This window comes from Homo sapiens, chromosome 18 (assembly GCF_000001405.40).
Source record: "Homo sapiens chromosome 18, GRCh38.p14 Primary Assembly".
Taxonomy (NCBI): domain Eukaryota; kingdom Metazoa; phylum Chordata; class Mammalia; order Primates; family Hominidae; genus Homo; species Homo sapiens.
In genome coordinates, this window is record NC_000018.10 from 64,057,426 (window position 1) to 64,079,994 (window position 22,569).

The 22,569-nt window shown below is 35.4% G+C and overlaps 1 pseudogene; it reads left to right on the forward strand.

Annotated features, from left to right (window-relative positions):
* Positions 14,745 to 15,226, forward strand: RPL12P39 (ribosomal protein L12 pseudogene 39; annotated as a pseudogene).

Below are 22,569 nucleotides of genomic sequence, written 5' to 3' on the forward strand. Positions count from 1 at the left end.
GGCCTTTTATTCTCCTGCCTTATACACAATGTCTCTCATCTACAGCCTTCACCACCTTGGTTCCTTGAGCACCTCTCCCTCCATGCCCTCTTGTACATCCCACATATCAACAAAGCCCATTTCCCCTTCACACAATCTCTTTGATTGCTTTTCCTTTAAAAATCTATGCATGTACCTTTCGTATATTTTTTGTAAAGGGAAGTCAATATAAATGTCTGGAAGATGCCTAACACCAACCATTGCTTGTTCAATCATAGGTGGCTATAGGGAGAGGGCTGTGAACCCTCATACACTGTAAGTATTCAGTCCCCACACAGGTCAAACAGCTCTTTTCCAACAAGAGCACTCTTTTTTTTTTTTTTTTTTTTTTTTTTTGAGACGGAGTCTCGCTCTGTCGCCCCAGGCTGGAGTGCAGTGGCGCGATCTCGGCTCACTGCAAGCTCTGCCTCCCAGGTTCACGCCATTCTCCTGCCTCAGCCTCCTGAGTAGCTGGGACTACAGGCCCCTGCTACCATACCCGGCTATTTTTTTTTTTTTTGTATTTTTAATAGAGACGGGGTTTCCCCATGCTAGCCAGGATGGTCTCGATCTCCTGACCTCGTGATCCGCCCGCCTCGGCCTCTCCAAGTGCTGGGACTACAGGCGTGAGCCATGAGCACTCTTATAACATGATGCTGTTTTGTCCTCAGAGACCCAAGTGGCCATACCCCTGTTTACATATCCCCGTTCCAATTGATTTGCCTTAGTGTTACATGTCTCAGTACACAAAAGCGTGTGATAGTGTGAGTTGTTAATGAAGTTTTTAATGTCAGGATTCATCCTGTTCTAAGTCGAATAACTTGGACTTTTTTTTTCCCTTTGTCCAGATAAATGACCTCAGGTTCCCTAGTTTTAATTTCTTAGAGTATAGAGTATGCAATCAGTGTTAAAGAATGCCAGTAAAATCTTCTTGCTGTACAATTTCACCAACTGACATCAGCCGAATGACTAGAACTTTATTTCTAGAGTTATTCTTTTGTTTCGGGAATGGTGATCCAGAATTTCCCTCTTAACTTTCCGATCACACTAAAGATAAGAAACAACCAGTTCTTTTTTGTTTGTTTGTTTGTTTGTTTGAGATGGAGTCTCGCTCTCTTGCCCAGGATAGAGTACGGTGATGCAATCTCAGCTCACTGCAAACTCCGCCTCCCAGGTTCAAGTGATTCTTCTGCCTCAGCCTCCTGAGTAGCTGGAATCACAGGCATGTGCCACTATGCCTGGGTAATTTTTGTATTTTTAGTAGAGACAGCGTTTCACCATGTTGGCCAGGCTGGTCTTGAATTCTTGACCTTAGGTGATCCACCCACCTTGGCCTCCCAAAGTGCTGGGATCACAGCTGTGAGCCACCATGCCCAACCATAAACAACCAGTTCTTAAATACAAAAAGTTAATGGAGGAACTAGAAGTGAAAATAATTATTCTAATTTTATTTTATTATTTTAATTTTAATTTTAAAAAATAATTTCAACTTTTATTTTAGATTTTAGGTGTACATGTGCAGGGTCATTACATGAGTATATTGTGTGATGCTGAGACTTGGAGTACAATTGATTTTATCACCCAGGTACTGAGCATAGTACTCAATAGATTGTTTTTCAGCCCTCTCTTCCCCATCTAGTAGTTCCAGTGTCTATTGTTGCCATCTTTATGTCTATGAGTACCCAATGTTTAGCTCCCACTTATAAGTAAGAACATGTGGTATTTAGTTTCCTGTTCCTCTGTTAATTTGCTTAGGATAATGGCCTCCAGCTGCATCCATGTTACCGCAAAGGATATGATCTCATTCTTTTTTATGGGTGCATAGTATTCCATGATATATACACACAACATTTTCTTTATCCAATCCACCACTGACGGGCACCTAGGTTGATTCCATGTCTTTGCTATTGTGAATAGTGCTGCAATGAACATACAAGTGCATGTTTGTCTTTATGGTAGAAAATTTATTTTCTTTTAAATATATACCCAGTAATGGGATTTCTGGTTTGAATAATAGTTCTAACTCCTGTGAGAAATCTCTAAACTGCTTTCCACAATGGCTAGACTAATTTACATTCTCTTCAACGGTGTATAAGCCTTCCTTTTCCCCTTTTCTCTGCAGTCTCACCAGCATCTATTGTTTTTTGACTTTTTAGTAATAGCCATTCTGACTGCTGTGAGATGTAATCTCATTATAGTTTTGATTTGCTTTTCTCTGATGACTAGTGATGTTGAACATTTTTTCATAGTTTTTTGGCCCCTTGTGTGTCTTCTGTTGAGAAGCATCTGTTCAGGTTTTTTGCTGACTTTTTAATGGCATTGGTTTTCCTTGTTGAATTGTTTAAGTTCCTGATAAATTCTGGATATTAGGCCTTTGCTGGATGAATACTTTGTGAATATTTTCTGCCACTCTGTACGTTGTCTCTTTTCTCTGTTGATAGTTTCTTTTGTGGTGAAGAAGCTCTTTAGTTAATTAGGTTTCACTTGTTAATATTTGTTTTTGTTTCAGTTGCTTTTGAGGACTTAGTCATAAATTAATTCCCAAAGCCAACGTCCAGAAGGGTGTTTACTACGTTTTCTTCTGGGAATTTTTTTTTTTTTTTTTTTTTTTTGAGACGGAGTATCGCTCTGTCGCCCAGTCTGGAGTGCAGTGGTGCGATAGTTTGAGATTTCATGTTTAAATATTTAATCCATCTTGAGTTAATTTTTGTGTATGGTGTAAGGTAGGAGTCATTTCATTCTTCTGCATAGGCCAGCTAGCTGTCCCAGCACCATTTATTGATTAGGGAGTCCTTTCTCCATTGCTTGTTGTTGTTGACTTTGTCAAAGATCAGATGGCTGTAGGTGTGCACCTTTATTTCTGGGTTCTCTGTTCTGTTCCATTGTCCTATGTGCCTGTTTTTCGTACCAGTACCATGCTGTTTTGGTTACTGTAGCCTTATAGTACAGTTTGAAGATGGGTAAAATGATGCCTTCAGCTTGTTCTTTTTGTTTAGCATTGCTTTGCATTTTGGGGTTCTTTTTTGGTTTCATATGAATTTTACAATAGCTTCTTCCAGTTCTGTGAAAAGTGACATGGGTAGTGTGACTGGAATAACATTGAATCTTCAGATTGCTTTCGGCAGTATTGGCCATTTTTACAATATTGATTCTTCTAAACCATGAGCATGAAATTTTTTTTTATTTGTATCATCTGTGATTTCTTTCAGCAGTGTTTTGTGGTTCCTGTAGAGATGTTTCACCTCCTTGGTTAGATGTATTTCTAGGTATTTCTTTTTTTTTTTTTTTTGCAGCTCTTTTAATGGTATTGCATTCTTGATTTTATTCTCAGCTTGAATGTTATTGGTGTATAGAAATACTACTGATTTTTGTTCATTGATTTTGTATCCTGAAACTTTACTAAAGTTTAGTTACAGGAGACTTTTGGCAGTGTCTTTGGGGTTTTCTGGGGATAGAATAATATCATCCTTGAATAGAGATAATTTGACTTCCTTTTTTTTTTTTCTTATTTGAATGCCTTTTATTTCTTTCTCTTGCCTGACTGCTCTGGCTAAGTCTTCCTGCTTTTTATTTTGTATTTCAGATTCCAAAGGGTGACAAAAGTACCCATTGCCTATTTAGAAGAAATTTTAGTCTAATTTTGTCATGTCACTATATACCAAAGCTGTGTTATTTAAATCCATGAAGGTTGGTGACTTCCTCACAGTCACACAATATGTTCAGGTTCATCTAAGGATAATATTTTGGTCTTTTCCTACGATATCATTCTGCAAGTGTTATGAAGAAAAGGAAGACGGGAAAAGGGGCAGGTAGGGAGAGAAAGAGGGAGGGAAAAGGTCTCATTATATAATCAGGCAATGCATATTTGATTTACCTTTAGAATCTGAATTCTAATATTTTATATATTATTTTACACTTTATGTAGTGACAACTGCTTCATTATCAAACTTGATTAAACACCCTCACTCTGGCCCCTACCCCGCAATGGTAGTCAGAATCATGGAATATAGATCTGAACTGAAGCTTGGAAGAAATAGACATTTGTTTCTTTTTCTTCTCTCTCTGATTATTTTGTTAGAATAATCAGAGTATGTGTGAGAATTTGTCCTTGTCATAGAATCTGTACTCTTAGACATTTTGTTCCCAGAGGATTCTGCCAAGATATTCATTGAAGAAAGCAGAATTATTGCAGTTTCAAAACTCTTTGACAAATGTTTTTTTCCTATAGTCTAATGCCTATATGTCAGTATTAAAAATAGTCATGTTTAAGGACTAAAGTCATCATCCTCTGTAAAATCAGTATCTCCAATTTTAATGACTGTGATTATCTTTGATAAATGTCATTCCATTTCTTTTTGGTGAACCCCTGTGGCAATTCATCTTTCATAAGAATGGCTGAAAATAACTAGAATTTTTAAAAACAGCATTAAATGTGAATGAAACAGTGAAAAATAAATTCCTGGAAAAAAATCATCAGGAAATTGACTTGTTGGAAATCAAATATTTTCAAGGGAAAGATTTACCTCAAATAAAGAAATGTGCTCAAAGCCAAGTATTGTGGCTGGTACCTCTAATCTCAGCAATTTGGGAAATTGAGGTGGGGGGTTTTCTTGATGCCAGGAATTTGAGATGAGCCCAGAAAACATAGCCAAATCTTGTCTGTACAAATATATATATACACAAATACATATAATATTATATATAAAATACATTATATATAATACTATATATAATACATTATATATAATACTATATATAATATATTGTATATAATACTATATATAATATATAATACATTATATAATACTATATATAATATAATACATTATATATAATGCTATATATATAATATATAATACATTATATATAATGCTATATATATAATATGTAATACATTATATATAATGCTATATATATAATATGTAATACATTATATATAATGCTATATATATAATATGTAATACATTATATATAATGCTATATATATAATATGTAATACATTATATATAATGCTATATATATAATATGTAATACATTATATATAATGCTATATATATAATATGTAATACATTATATATAATGCTATATATATAATATGTAATACATTATATATAATGCTATATATATAATATGTAATACATTATATATAATGCTATATATATAATATGTAATACATTATATATAATGCTATATATATAATATGTAATACATTATATATAATGCTATATATATAATATGTAATACATTATATATAATGCTATATATATAATATGTAATACATTATATATAATGCTATATATAATATGTAATACATTATATATAATGCTATATATATATAATATGTAATACATTTTATATAATGCTATATATAATATGTAATACATTATATATAATGCTATATATATAAAATATATAATACATTTTATATAATGTTATATATAATATATAATACATTATATATAATCCTATATATATAATACAGAATACATTATATATAATGCTATATATAATACAGAATACATTATATATAATGCTATATATAATATAGAATACATTATATATAATGCTATATATATAATATAGAATACATTATATATAATGCTATATACAATATAGAATACATTATATATAATGCTATATACAATATAGAATACATTATATATAATGCTATATACAATATAGAATACATTATATATAATGCTATATACAATATAGAATACATTATATATAATGCTATATACAATATAGAATACATTATATATAATGCTATATACAATATAGAATACATTATATATAATGCTATATACAATATAGAATACATTATATATAATGCTATATACAATATAGAATACATTATATATAATGCTATATACAATATAGAATACATTATATATAATGCTATATACAATATAGAATACATTATATATAATGCTATATACAATATAGAATACATTATATATAATGCTATATACAATATAGAATACATTATATATAATGCTATATACAATATAGCATTATATATAATGCTATATATAATATAGAATTATATATAATGCTATATATAATATATATATATAATGCTATATATATAATGCAATATATATAATATATATACTATACATATTTTATATATATATATGTATACATATATATACATCAGGTATGGTGGTACACACCTGTAGTCCCAGATATTTAAGATGCTGAAGTAGGAGGATGGCTTGAGCCCGGGAATTTGAGGCTGCAGTGAGCTATGGTTGCACTGCACCATTGCTAGTTGCATCAAGAAATTAAAAAATCAACCAGAAGGGATCAGTGTCAAATATGGAGAATTTCTTATTTTTTCTTTTATGTACAAATTTGTGTAAGAAATGAATTTATATAAAATACAACAAACTGGACAAAAGTCTGTAAAAATAGCTAAAGTCAAAAATAATTTTTGATTTATTTATTTGTGGGGAAATTTCTGTATTCTTTTGTAGCAATTAATGTCATGGAAAGACAGTATCCATTGAAAATCTAGTTTAGGAATTAAAGTAAGATTAGAAATTAGTCTTTAAAATTGTTTTTTGCCTTTGTAGATCACATCAATAGGAATATGAAAACATTATTGGCTTCACTAAAATATAGTCTTATATTTAAGGAGCCATTTAAGAAAAACACAATTCAAAATTATGAATTAGGACTTTAAACATTGCAAAAATGCTCCCTGCTTATACTTCACCCAGTTTTCAACTTATATGATGTAAATTTTGGAGGAAGAGCTCATATAATTCCTTGCTTTCCATTCAAATTTTCTGTTCCTATTTTCTATGCTCAAATGCAGAAGGTACAGTAATGATACCTGAATCATCATTCATCCAGTAAAATCCCCGCTCTTCATTCATTCAATCAATACTCTTAATTCATTCCATTTAATCACCAGTACCCATTTTGTATTCTTCCTTCTCAACATAAGCATCTATTCTCATGTCTTTTTGTTTATAAGTGCTTTTGGAAAATGCATATTATTTTTTATGTCTGTACATTTTCAACTTATGTAAATGCTATTAGTTTACATATAAGATATTATGTTTTTAAAAATATTGTTACTTGGCATTATTTTATAAGATTCATCCATTCTGTTTATAAGATTCATCCATGTTGCTACATGTACATCTAGTCCATTGCTTCCTTTTACTCTGTAGTACCCTATGAAGGGCATCCATCAACCTTTATCTATCCATTCTCCTTGCAATGAACTTGCCAAATCTCACCTCCAACACCAGACTTCCCCAAATAATGCTGTAATAAATATTACACATGTCGTCTTAGAAGTCTGCATGAGAAATTTATTGGCATATCTAACTAGTAGTGGAATTGCTGAATCACACTGCAGGTGGGATTATACCAAGTTTAGTCAAATGTACCAGATGCTCTCCACAGGGTCTGCTGCAGTTTACAATCCCACTAGCAGCGCTTGAGGGCCCCTATGTCTCCACACCCCATCGGTTATCCATCTTTCCAATTTTTGTTAATCCAATAGGTGTCAAGTGATGTTGCTTTGCTTTGATTTGCATGTCTCTGATTTCTAGTAAGTTTGAGTGTCTCTTTATGTATTCATATACAGTTAGTCTTTTGGTGTCCATGGGAGATTGGATCCAGAACCTTCCGCAAATACCAAAATATGCAGATGCTCAAGTCCCTGTTATAAAATGGTGTAGTATTTGCATATAACATATGCATATGCTCCCATGTGATTTAAATTATCCCTAGATTACATATAATACCTAATACAATGTAAACTCTATGTAAATATTGATTATACTGTATTGTTTAGGGAATAATGACAAGAAAAAAAGTCTGTGCATGTTTAGTACAGACACAACCATTCATTTTTATATGTGAATATTTTCCATCCTCAGTTGGTTGAATCACTGATGTAGAACCCATAGGTACAGAGAGCTGACCATACTTCCTAAGTTTGCAGTTTCTTATTCAGACCTTTTGACCATTGTTCTATTGCAGTTACTGTCATTTTCCTATCAATTAACGATGTCTAGACATTTAGACATTGTATTTTCTCAATATTATTCACTTTTTTGCCAAGACATATAAGAATCTTCTCTCATTTTTTTCATCTATGAGAACCATCCATAGTATATGTCTTTGAATAGAAATCTTTAATTTTGATACAACCAAATTTATCATGCATATGCCTTATTATTTTTGCTTTTGAAATTTTACCAAGTCATGGTTTATAAATATATATATGCATATAAATCCTGTATTTCTATTAACTTTAATATAAAGCTTTTTTCCTCTTACACATTTAGTTTTCATCAATTTTTTATGTGTAATGTAGGGGTTCAGTTTTATTTTTTAAAGAAGTTAGTTTTTCAAATACATTATTTTTTATTGATCCATAATATTTTACATATTTATGGAGTAATGTGATATTTTGTTTCATGCATAAAATGTGTAATGATCAAGTCAGGGTATTTGGGATATCCATCATCTTGAATATTTATCATTTCTATCACTTGGGAACATTTCAAGTCCTCTCTTGTAGCTACTTTGTTACATGCCATATGTCATTGTCATTTCTAGTCATTCTAGTTCACTATCAAACATTAGAAGTTATATCTTCTATCTAACTGTATGTTTTGCACCCATTAACCAACCTCTCTTCATCCCCCTTCCCACTCACCTACTCTTCCCGGCCTCTGGTATCTATCATTCTACTCTCTACCTCCGTGAAATCAACTTTTTTAGCTCCCACATGTGAGTGAGAACATGAGTGTTTGTCTTTCTATGCCTGGCTTTTTAAACTTAATACTTAACATAATGACTTCCAGTTCCATCCATGTTGCTGCAGATGACATGATTTTATTCTTCTTATGTCTGAATAGTATTCCATTGTGTGTGTGTGTATATATATACACACACACATATACATATATACATATATATATACACACACATATTGTGTATATATATATATATACATTATACACATTTTCTTCATCCATCCATTGCTGAACATTTAGTTTGGTTTCATATATATGTTATTGTGAATAGTGCTGCAGTAAACATTGGAGTGCTTGTATCTCTTTGTTATACTGATTTCTTTTCTTTAGGATAAATACCCAGCAGTGAAATGGCTGGAGTGTATGGTAGTTTTATTTTTAGATTTTTGAGAAATTCCACATTGTTTTCCATAGTGGCTATACTAATTTACATTTTCACTAATAGTGTGTAAGAGTTCTTGATTACTCCAGCAAGTGGCTTATTGATGTTATCTTTTCAAAACACAAACTTTTTTGTTCACCCTTCGTATTATTTTATTTGTCTCTATTTTGTTTAATTCTGCTCTGATCTTTATTTTATTCCGTCTACTAATTTTGGTTTTGGTTTGTTCTTGCTTTTCTAGTTTCTTTAGGTGCATGGTTAGATTTTTTAAGAAATATTTCTACTTTTTGGATGTAGGTGTTTATTGCTTTAACCTTCCTCTTAGCACTGTTTTTTGCTGTATCGCATAGGTTTTGGTATGTTGTGTTTTTATTTTCATTTGTTTCAATAAATTTTTTGATTTCCTTCTTAATTTCTTCCTTGAGCAGGTTATTTAATTTTTAAATTTCATCCTGAATTTCTCCCAGGACATGTTATTTAATTTCCATGTATTTGTACACTTTCCAAAGTTTCTTTTGTTAGTGACTTCCAGTTTTATTGATTGTGGTCTGAAAAGATAATTGATATGATTTATAATTTTAAATATTTGTTGAGACTTGTTTTGTGTCCTAACATATGATCTCTTCTGGACAATGTTCTGTGTGCTGATGAGAAGAATGTGTATTCTGTAGTGGTTGTATGAAATGTTCTTTAAATGTCTGTTAGGTCCATTTGGTCTAAGTCTGTTTTATCTGATATAGGTATAGCTACTCCTGCTCACTTTTGGTTTCTGTTTGCATGGAATATTATTTTACATTCCCTTACTTTCTGTCTATATGTGTCTTTACAGGTGAGATGAGATTCTTGTAGGTAGCATATAGTTGGGTCATTTTTAAAATTCATTCAGCCAGACTGTATCTTTTAAGTGGCAGGTTTAATTTATTTACATTCAAGGTTATTATTGATAAGTGAGGGCATATTCCTCTCATTTTATTAATTGATTTCTGGTTCTATACTTATCTTTTGTTTCTTTCTCTCATTGTTTGTCATTGTTGTTTGGTGGTTTTTTTGTCTTGGTAATATTTGTGTTTTATCTCTTGTGTGTTTGCTTGACCAGTGGTTTATATATATATATATATTTTAAATGATGGTAGATATTATTCTTTCGCTTCCAGGCATAGGACTAAAGAGTTTCTGTAGTGCCAATTTAGTGGCGATGAATTCCCTCAGCTTGTTTGTTTGGGAAAGACGTCAGTTCTCCTTCATGTATGAAGAATAACGTTGTTGGTATAATATCCTTGGCTAGCAGGTTTTTTCTTTCAGGACTTTAAATGTATTATCCCATTCTCTCTGGCCTGTAAGGTTTCTGCTGAGAAATCCACTCTTAGTCTGATGAGAGTTCTCTTATAAGTGACTAGACACTTTTCTATTGCTGTTTTTAGAATTCTTTCTTTGTCTTTGACTTCTGACAATATGACTATAATGTGTTGTGAGGAGCTTTTTAACTGCATCTGCTTGGGGATTTCTGAGCCTCCTATTTGTGGATGTGTAAATCTCTTACTATACAGAAAGTTTTCATCTATTATATCATTAAGTAGGTTTTATTATCAATTCATTTTTTCTTTACCTTCTGGGACACCAAATATTTGAATATTCAGTCATTTTATGGTGTCCCATCTGTCAGGTAGGCTTTGCTCACTAAAAAAAAAAAAAAATTCTTTTTTCTTTTTCTTTTTTCTTTTTCGAGATGGAGTTTTGCTCTTTTTGCCCAGGCTGGAATGCAATGGTTCAATCTCAGCTCACTGCAACCTCTGCCTCCCAGGTTCAAGTGATTCTCCTGCCTCAGCCTCACAAGTAGCTGGGATTACAGGCATGCTCCAGTACACCCAGCTGATTTTTTATTTTTAGTAGAGATAGGGTTTCTCCATGTTGGTCAGGCTGGTCTTGAACTCCTGACCTCAGGTGATCCACACGCCTTGGCCTCCCAAAGTGTTGAGATTACAGGTGTGAGCCACTGTGCCCGGCCTCTTTATTCTTTATTTTTGTCTAACTGGCTTACATTAAAACACCTGTCTTCAAGTTCTGAGATTCTTTCTTCTGCTTGATCTAGTCTATTGTTGAAGCTTTTGAACATATTTTGTATGCATTCAATGAATTCTTCAGTTCCAGAATTTCTGTTTGGCTCTTTTTTATGATATCTATCTCTTTGGTAAATTTCTCATTCATTGTTCTCTTTCTCTGAATTCTTTTTATTGTTTTTCATAATTCTTTTGTATCTCACCGATCTTCTTTAGTATCAATATTTTAAATTCCTTTTTTTCTATAATTTCTTAAATTTCATTTTAAAATCAAGATATATTGCTGGAAAATTATTATATTCCTTTGGAGATATCATAGTTCCTTGTTTTTTCATGTTTCCTGTGTCTTTATGTTGATATTTGCACATGTGGTATAACAGTCGCTTCTTCCAACTTTTTAAATTTGCTTTCACAGGGGGAGGACTTCTTCCTGAAGCTGTATCTATAGTATTGGTTGTGTAGGGTGCATTGGCTTTGTTTCTCGGTATATGCAGTAGTGTAGTCTCTGTATGATTTCTTTGATGGTAAATAGCATCAGTGATGTCTGTGATTTCCTTGGTGAAGTTTTGCTGAGCCCTGAGATGCTACATGGGCCAGTCTTCAAGCTCTAGTCATGGCAACAGTGGGCTGAGTGTTCCTGTCCTTGTGCTTCAGAGTGGCATATGCTGGCACTGGTGTTAGTGGGTTCAGGCAGGCAAATTCTCGGGCCTTCATGTAGCTTGCTTGGGTGCTGGAAATGACAGTGGTGGGCTGGATGAGTGGTTGGGTTCTTGGCCCTTGGGTAGTGTGTGTGGTATGGGCAATGGTGGTAGCAGTAGTTGGCCAACCTTCTGGGACCCAAGTGGTTCACGCTGGTGTTGGCAGTGGCTGTGATGGGTGGGCTGGGTGAATCCCCAGGCCTGCATGTGGGTGCCTTCCAGCTGTGTAGGTAGTGGTAGGTTGGTTGGGCCCAACTTCAGATCCCAGTAGGAGTGCTCAGGTGCCAATGGTTGTGGACTGAGCTGGGCAATCCCCGGGAACCTGGATGGCATGCTTAGGTACTGGGAGGGCCAGAGCTGGGCTGGGAGGACCTGTTCTCAGGCCTCCTAATGGTGCATGCAGTCACTGGTTGTGGTAGGCAGGTACAGGGTGCAAATGTATATATTTTAAAAACTTGTGCTTTCCTGATGATTTGTGGAACACCTTTATCAAATATTACCTACATGTATAAATAAATGAGTATATTTCTGAGCACTCCATCTTATTGGTCTATTTGTCTGTTTTTACATGCATTTCATACAGTTATTACTATGGCTTTATACTATGTTAATACAGGTAATGAATGACTCCTTCTCTTCACTCTTCTTTTTCAATGCTGAATTAATTTTTTGTAGCCATTATAGATTTTAGACTAAGATTACAAAATCCTCAAAAAATTTCAACTGGGACTTTGATAAAAATCTGTATTAGTGGCCGGGTGTGGTGGCTCACGCCTGTAATCCCAGCACTTTGGGAGGCCGAGGCAGGTGGATCATGAGCTCAGGAGAGTGAGACCATCCTGGTTAACATGGTGAAACCCTGTCTCTACTAAAAATACAAAAAATTAGCCAGGCGTGGTGGCGGGCACCTGTAATGCCAGCTACTTGGGAGGCTGAGGCAGGAGAATGGTGTGAACCCGGGAGGCGGAGCTTTCAGTGAGCCGAGATTGCGCCACTGCACTCCAGCCTGGGTGACAGAGTGAGACTCCATCTCAAAAAAAAAAAAAAATTCTGTATTAGTTTTCTATTGTTGCCATAATAAATTACCACAAACTTAACACAAATGTATTGTTTTACAGTTCTGTAGGTTAGAAATCCCACATGATTTCACTTGCATAAAAAATAAGTCACCTGCAGGGCTGCGTTCTCTTCTGGAAGATTTAAGGGTGAATCTATTTCCTTGCGTTTTTCAGCTTTTAGAGGATATCTTAAGCTCATGACCTTCTTCTTCCATCTTCAGAGCCAGCAACATTGTCATATATCCCTCTGACCACAGCTGGGAAAGGCCCTCTGCTTTTAAATGTCCTCGTGATAAAATCTACCCACTTGGATAATCCAGTATAATCTCCTTATCTCAAAGTTGATAATACTAATCACATTTGCAGATTTTTTTTTTGTCATGGAAGGTGACATATTCACAGGTTGTGGGGATTATCATGTGGGCATCTTTGAGAATCCATTATTTGGACTATCCCAGAATTGCTTTGCATTTACAGAAAAATTTAGGGAAAATTTAAGGTGGCCTACTTCTCTTTTTAGAGAGATCAATCACTGTATCCTGTATGACAGTTTCATACTTTTCCCCAGAGTAGTATTGTGCATTCTTCGTTAATTCCCAGATTCTCTATAATTTTTGTTACTAATGTAAATAGTATCTTATTTTTAGTTGCAGTCTCTTATTGTTATTGCTATTGTGTAGAAATACTATTATTCTTGTAATTGATTCAATATCTGGCAGGCTTACTAAAATCTCTTATCAATTCTAATAATTTGTCCATTGATTCTCTCACACTTTTCTATTTTCCTCATTTCTGTAAGCCAGGGGTCAGGCAGCTCTGGCTTTAGTACCAAATCCATCCTGACCACTGTTTTTGTAAATAAAGTTTACATGTTGCCTGTAGCTGCTTTTGCCCCATGATGGCAGAGTTTAGTAGTTGTGACAGAGATGGTGAGTGGCCCAAAAAGTCTAAAATTTTACTATTTTTCCCTTTCCACCAAAGTTTGCCAAGTTCTGCTCTAAGGCTCTTACTCCTCCTTCCCATAGCTTATAGAAATAGGAGTAGTTGGTATACTTTACGAAGTCTTATAAAGTAATGCCTAAAATCCATTAATCCTTACAAAACTTTCTGAAGTCATACAAGTTTAGTGTGATAAAATTTAATACATTTCTTTTCAAAATTGCAACTGCCACTAGGCTGTAAAATGTAATTTTGAAGACTGAGGCAGGTATTACAACCCTGTGACACTTTGAGTCATTCATTGACAAGATGGGACGGCCAGACTGTGGATACTTAGCTATTGGAAGATCCTACAGTTGAGATCCCATTGAAATGGGAAAATTGATCACTCTAAACTTAAGAGCTTTGCTATGTCATGTAGGGCTGCCCTGGTTTCTACTTCAGATCAACTAAATTTGTATTGATAGAGATGCCCTCTCTAGGAAGAATGAGAACAATGCTAAAGCAAGTATTCAGAGCTTGAAGCATACCTTTTGTGCCTCCTCAAGTGGTCCTAAATTGAAGGACACTCTTTCTGCATTGCTAAATGTGGCATACTTAGACATCATAAGTTAACTTTTAATAAACAATTCTGTTTCTTGTGTATAAAATGAAAGAACTTAGAAGAAATAATCTATGGGACAAGCACTTAGAAAAACTTGTTCAGCTTCCAGTTTTTGGCTTGAAGAAAGCCAAGGTGAAACTTTCTTTATTTGTCTCACATCCAAGTTCATCCCACACCAACATCCTCTATTATTCTGCCTCAGTTCAACCCCAAGAAGATCATAGATGTATACCTGAGGTGTACTGGTGGAAAACTCATGCCACATCTGGTGAGGTCCCAAAATTAGTCTTCTGGATCTGTCTCCAAAAAAAGCTGCTGATGACATCATCAGAGTAACTGGAGACTGGAAGGGTCTAAAGATTATAGTGAAACTGACCATTCAAAACAGACAGAAACAGAGGGAATGGGTAACTTCTGCCTCTGCCCTGATTATCAAAGCCCTCAACGATCTGCCAAGAGACAGAAGAAAGTAGAAAATCACTAAACACTGTGGGAATATCACTTTTGATGAGATTGTCAACATCTCCTGACAGGTCACTACTGATCTTTGGCAGAGAACGCTGTGGAACCAATAAGGAGATCCTAGGGACTGCCCAATCTGTGGTCTGTCGGCTGCAGAGTTGATGCTTCCACCCTCATGATATCACAGATGACATCAACGGTGCTGCGGTGAAATTCCCAGTTAGGTAAGAGTACAAAGAAAAATATTTCAACCACCAAAAGTTTATTCACTTCAGCTTGACATTTAAAGTCCTCTATGATTTTCCCATATACTAGTCATTCCCAAACATGGCAGAATCACCCATGGTGCTTTAAAACAATTACAGATTATTTGAGCTCAATTCTGAACCTACTGAATCAAAATCTCTGGAGGCGTGGTCCTAGAGACTATATTTTTTAGCAGCTTGCTAATACATTCTTATGTAACTAACCCAGCTTACTGTCCTAAATTACCTCTTCAGTCCTGCTATCTTGCTATCCGTTATTAGTCCTCACATAACTTTTCAGAAAAATTCATTTCTCCTTTTTCCACCTGTCTTTTCTATTAGTTTATTTGTCCTTTCCTTTTTCTATCTTTTTTTTTTCTAACTCTATGCGTCCCTTTAAAATTTCCTTGCCCTTTTGACGTTTTTCCTCTCTTTGGAAGAGTGAGAAATTGAGAACAACTACAAAATTAGAGGGAACAGTTCCCATGAGACTGCTCTCACTGCTGATATCAAATGGAAGTTTGAAGGGTTTCCCGTAAACATCTCAGGTTTGATAATTTTCTAGAAAGACTCATATAACTCACTGACAGCTCCTATACTCATGGTTAAAGTTTATTATAGCTCAGATACAAATTAAAATCAGCCAAGGAAAGAGAGGCATAGGGCAGAGTCCAGGATGGGCTCAATATAGAGCTCTAGTTGCCCTCTCCCTGTGGCTTCAAGAGTGGCCTTCCCTCCTCCTGGCCACAGTGTGTGATGATATACACAGATAATTACCAACCGTGAAAACTCACCCAAGCCTTTGGTATCCAGAATTTTATTCAGGTCAATAACATACTACCTGTGTGGCTAAACTTCAGTCCCTAGCTTTCCTGGAGTTTGAGCTAATATCTTTAATTATCAGGTTCTTTGGAGGTCAGAACTGATATGGCCTTGCTCTAAGTTTTCATTACAAATCACATTGTTAGACTTCCTTTTTTTTTTTTTTCTTTTTTTTTTTTATTACACTTTAAGTTTTAGGGTACATGTGCACATTGTGCAGGTTAGTTACATATGTATACATGTGCCATGCTGGTGCACTGCACCCACTAACTCGTCATCTAGCATTAGGTATATCTCCCAATGCTATCCCTCCTCCCTCCCCCCACCCCACAACAGTCCCCAGTGTGTGATATTCCCCTTCCTGTGTCCATGTGATCTCATTGTTCAATTCCCACCTATGAGTGAGAATATGCGGTGTTTGGTTTTTTGTTCTTGCGATAGTTTACTGAGAATGATGATTTCCAATTTCATCCATGTCCCTACAAAGGACATGAACTAGACTTCCTGAAGGACAAAGCTCCCAGAAAATACATTCTCATCAGGCAGGGCACTCGAGGGGCCTGAAGATCACCTTCCAGTAGCCAAAGGCAAAGGCCAGATTTCCTGCTTCTCTTCTTTCAGCCTGTTGTCCCTCTGCCTCATTATTTCTTGATAGAACTTTATTTTGTCAAAATAGGCATGTTTTTAAAGTAATAGTTGGCAGCTGTTAGGAAACAATTGGCAGCGTCTTGCAGGAAGCGAAAGGGTTATGAAAATATACCCCAAGCCTAGAATGCTTACAGCACGTATGGAATTTAACTTTTACAAGAGTTTTTAAAGGAAGCTATTTTTTTTAGATAGGATTAAAAAGCAAAGTCTCAACATGATCACAGAGACAGTAAAGGAGACAGAATTTAAATTTGGGTCTTGCTGACTCCAAAGTGAATGCTGTTTTCTCTGTACCAGATGTCACTCTGGGTTATTATTGCTCTTCCTCACCATGGGTGAATATTCAGTGCAAGGAGCAGCCACTGCTTCTGAGAATGATGAGAAGGGAAAAGAGTCTAGGTCAGCCTGAACGTCAATCCAAGCCCATGGGTCAGTATGGGCAGTGCTTGAGCTGGATACGATGAGCTCTGTTTTCTCTCTGACTCCTAAATCTACTTTAGATGAAGAATTAAAGAACCACTGGAGGCCGGGTGTGGTGGCTCATGCCTATAATCCCAGCACTTTGGGAGGCCAAGGTGGGCAGATCGCCTGAGCTCAGGAGTTCAAAACCAGCCTGGGCAACATGGCAAAACCCCTTCTCTACTAAAAGTATGAAAAATTAGCTGGTTGTGGTGGTGGGCGCCTGTATTCCCAGCTATTCGGGAGGCTGAGGCAGGAGAATCACTTGAACCTGAGAGGCAGAGGTTGCAGCGAGTGAGATCATGCCACTGCACTCCAGCTTGGGCTACAGAGGGAGACTCCAAAAAAAAAAAAAAAAAAAAAAAAAAAAAAAACAAACCATTGGAGAAAACCTCCACCTATGACTTTGTGCTCATATTTCAATTATTAAAACTTACTAAATGCCTATATGTTATTTTTTATTGCAATGCATTATAAAGTAGCCATGATTATATTTAGTTTTACACATGAACAAAGTGAGGCTCAAAGGACTGGAGAGCGGATGAACAGAGAGCTGAAATCAAAATGAAGGTGAGCTTGACTCCCATGCTCACATCTGTCTGCTATACCACACTGCTTTATCTTATCACTGTACATAGATAATTCATGAAACAGAAGTTATTATGCATGTGACCTTTCCCACTTCTTTTGTTATTTATATGGAGGGGCACTGATGCTTTTCCAGTAATGCATGCTCCTGGTATTTTGTGGATAGGAACAAGCTCTGTACTTGTCAAGCTTTCAAAGCAAATGAAGGCTCTGCCCATTGTGTTTCTGGTTTGTCTGCGGCTACCCTTTTCTGTAGAGATAGAGTTGGTTAGACCTGTGGAGGAAAGAATGAAGGCAAAACATCTATTTTTTATGGCATGATGTAATTTTAGATCTTAACTATTTTATTACTTAACCTTCTAATACAGAAGCACTTCTGCAGTTCTTGAGTTTATAATTAAATTTGGAATTCAATGCCTTCTTAGAACATGGTTTCAAATCTAGGGGAAATTAAGAGGAAAAAGTATTCTGAAACTCACAAGAGTTGCACTTAAAGCAATCAATCCTACCAAATTTTAGGACTCACAGCCCAGAGAAAAGTCCAATGCATTAATCTGAATGCTGGGTACCTGTGAATCGGCCAACCCATATCAATGTCATCCTATAAATCATCTATTACCCCTAGAGGAGGTAAAAACAGCCAAACACTATATTTAGTAGATCCTAGTCTTGCAATTAAATGACAAAAAGGGAAGCAGGAGACAAGGTGACTAGCTAGAAATATGACTCAGTAGGACATACAATCTCTACTTCAGGAATGTCACACCATGGTTATTTTGGGAGGAAAAAATGATTTGAATGACTATAAGGTCCCCAACATTGGATGAAGTCATACTTATTTTAAGGAATGAGCATAAAATCAATGGTGTAGTATATTTTGCCAGAAAACAAAATTTAAAGAGAAGCTCCTTAAAGCAGCCAAAAGGGAATTTTCTGAAAGAATGTATTTTCTCTTGTGTTAATTTCAAAATAATATAACCCAAGTAATTTAATTGATCATGACATTTTACTGACTGACACTTTGCTGAAACCAACATTTTGATTTTTTTGGTGGGGGAGCCATTGATGGGTGTGAGAACATCATTTTACAGGTGTCTCAAATTTTTTACTTAACAAGTTAGTGTTTTATATTCAATTCATATTGAAGCCGCCATTGCAAAATTGTAACTGAGACATTGAAAAAGAGCTGACCTAACCAACTTCATCTTGCTTCTAACCTCCAAATTGTCCTGTTTATTCCTGGGTGTAGGCTGAACTAACTTTGGGAGGAACTTAGTTTATAGTTTAAAACACAAACGATAACAACCCTTTCCCAAAACAAACCTCCTACTTGCCTGGGGACTAGACTGCCTTTGTAGGACTAACAAATTAGCCACAAGATTAGAAACTACCACTTAGGAGTCATTGCAGCTGGAGGCTACAAGATTCTGATGCTCCCTAAACTTTTCCTAAGATCAATGCTTGAGATATTTTGGAGACCCTGCTGTTGATGGATCAGCTGGCACCACCCAGATCATAAACTGGCTCATCTGATCTTGTGGCCCCCACTCAAGAACTGACTCAGCACAAGAGGACAACTTCAATTCCCTGTGATTTCATCTCTCACTCAACCACCCAGCACTCTCAACTCACTGGCTTTCCCTCACCCACCAAATTATCCTTAAATCCTCTGATGCCCAAATGCTTCGGGAGACTGATTTGAGTAATAATAAAACTTCAGTCTCCCACACAACTGGCTCTGTGTGAATTACACTTTCTCTATTGCAATTCCCCTGTCTTGATAAATCAGCTCTGTCTAGGCAGCAGTCAAGGTGAACCCACTGGGCAGTTATGGTAATATGTTATTTCAATTAATATAGTTCATATTATACGGTATCATATTGTGATACAAATATATTGCTTTACTTTTTAATTTTTAATTAAAGTCATTTAAAATACTTTGCATGGTGAAAATGTATAATAAGTGTTGATAAATCTTCTCACATTAGTAATATCTTCATAACAAATGTGACTTTTGGAAACTACTTGTGGGGAAATGATAGTTTAGATTTAGATTGAACCTTGCAGGGAAAATTGTGTGCTTCAATGGAAAACTAAGTGCTTTGAGCATACCCTTCTGGGTTATCTGATTCTGATTCTATGGGGACTCTTGGCATTGCCTTTGATCCATTTTACAACTGTGTAAGTTGTAGATAACTGATAGCAAGATGCGATAATTCTTGTCTATAGGCATGCAAAATAATTTTGTTTGGTGATTCAATTGAATTCCCTCCCTCCAGGGAAAAAAGCAGGTCTCTCTCTATTTGTAAATGCATTTAAACATTCCTTTACTACACATAACTTTCTGCTCCTTTAACTTATTTTTAAAAGTGATTGTAACAGCTTACTGTTTTCCTCATTAATGAGTTTAAAACAATCTTTAACACGTATTCATTTTATATCTATGTGAGACTCATGATTTTACCTGATTCTTGAAAATTATCCTTTAATAAATGACACTTAAATGTCATCCTTTTAAGAAACCAGAGTGGTATTTTTCTGTAGTTGTTACATATTGAATCATATTAATTGTTGCTTTTATTTTCATATCTTCTGATATTGCTGCTGTTTCATCTGTCATATTTTTAGTTAAATATTCACGTGTGTGTTTTGTTTTCCCACCCTCATTGTAAGCTCTCTGATGGTTAATGCTTCCCTGTATTCCTTGCTGTGCCTAACATAGCATGTTACACATAGTATGTGATCAGCTTGATGATAACTACAAGTTAAATACAATAAAAATACTGGGTTTCCTATTTCATCTAGTCTCTGTACCTTCTCTGTGGTCTTTTGCAAGAGTTACAAGACTAGTAGCTTCATATTGTAGATTGTGAACATCCTAGGAGTCCTATACTTCAAGTATGAAAAGGGCAATTGGGTATTTCCCAATGAGTTTTTAATTTTAATTTTTACTATTTTATGTTATTTTTATATGACAATAGTAGTATGTGAAAAAATAAATCTAGCCTACATTTCAAACAGATTTCAGTCTTTGCAGATGTTTGCTTTATGGTAATAAATTACTTGGAACAATTTCAACCTAAAGTTTCTTTCACCCAAGGACTGAGTGTCTGGCAAACTTCATCCCAGGGATGTATATGGGGAAGGAGTGCTCTCTCCTAACACATGAACCAATGATGTATACTTTCTAGAAATTTAAGTGGATTGGTAGTTTGTATGTTTTTAGCCTTTGATTAATTACTTTAACATGCATTTTCATATTTGATTTTCACAAAAATCTTATAAAAGACATATTTGCTATTTCTCCATTTTACAGCTGAGTAAACTAAGGGTTTATCAAGTTAAGTGGCTAGAGATTTGAACCTAGGCCTTCTCACATACTAACTCATTCTCGTTTCACTAAAGCAAGCTATTCTCTACATCTTGAGAAGGTCTTATCCTTCCAAGCATCACCTCATGGTATAGTCTTTCCAATATGCTCTGGGTCTATCTGTACCATTTTCTAAATTTTACCCAGAGCATTTCCTAGAAAACTGTAAGGATACAAAGAAAATTGTTAGACCACAAATACGTATATTTTTTTTCACATAAATGAAGGCCTAAATAAAATTTGATATTGAATTTCTCTTCATCTGTTTTTCTCTGAATCGGAAACTTGACTTCATGGCAATTTCATGTTGAGCAACTCCAATCAGATTACTTGCTTTCCAAGGCCTGGCCTGATTACTGCTAGTACAGTGATAGGGAATCCTGGATCTTCCAAAAAAAAAGTAGGAGATCAAAGGTTAGTCTTGAATAGTTATTCCCAAATTTTGTTGCACGTTAGAATCCAGACCCTTAGGATCTGAGCCTCCACATATTTTTTGGGAGCTGCTGATCTAAGGCATTTAATTTAGGAAAGATCTAAGGGCCTGGGAACCAAAGTCCACCAGAGCCAGAGAACTGTAAGTTTGTCGGATGAGGTCACAGTTTTCCTAGAAAGCACTCATCTGATTTTTTAGAAGACTATTTATTTTAGAGCAGTTTTAGATTCATAGCAAAATTAAGAGGAAGGTACAGCTCATCTGATTTTAATGTGCTTGAATCTGTCCCCCTGTCTCTTCTGAGGTGACTAGAGCAGACCAGACATAAAGGTAATCCCAAACCATTCTCCCTAGCTCCCTAGAAGTTTATGTTCTTGAATGGATCTGCAAAGACTTACTTATGAATCATTGGTACAGCACTGTGTTCATAGAACCTGAGAGTTAACTACTGAAGGAACCAATAAGATGTTTTTTGCTAAAATGCTAATGAAACTGGTGCAGTTGTCCCATAGAACTGATGTTTATGGGTTTTTTTGAATAAACATAGAAATTGACCTTCCTAGTCATGAAACTTAAGAAAGCGACATTTCTCTCTTAGGAAACCAACCCTCAGGCTTCCCAGATAGTATCAAGGAGCTGAAACTCACCAGATCACTGCATCTAGACAATGGGATGCCAGACCCCTCACCCATCATGGTGGCCTAACTGACCACCCGTGTCTTTCTGACCAACTCCTCTTGCTTATCCCTCCCTGATTCCTATTTCCTCACATGTAGTTACATTTCTTCTCTACTACATAATCCCCTGATTTTAGTCCATCAGGGAGGTGGATTTGAGACTAATCTCTCATCAACTAGGCTGCAGCACCTGATTAAAGCCTTCTTACTTGTCAATACTTGTGTCTCAGTGATTGGCTTTTTGTGTGGTGAGTAGTAGACCTAGTCTGAAACTCTGGCATTTCAGGGACACTAATGATGAAAATAAGGAGAATAAATTATTA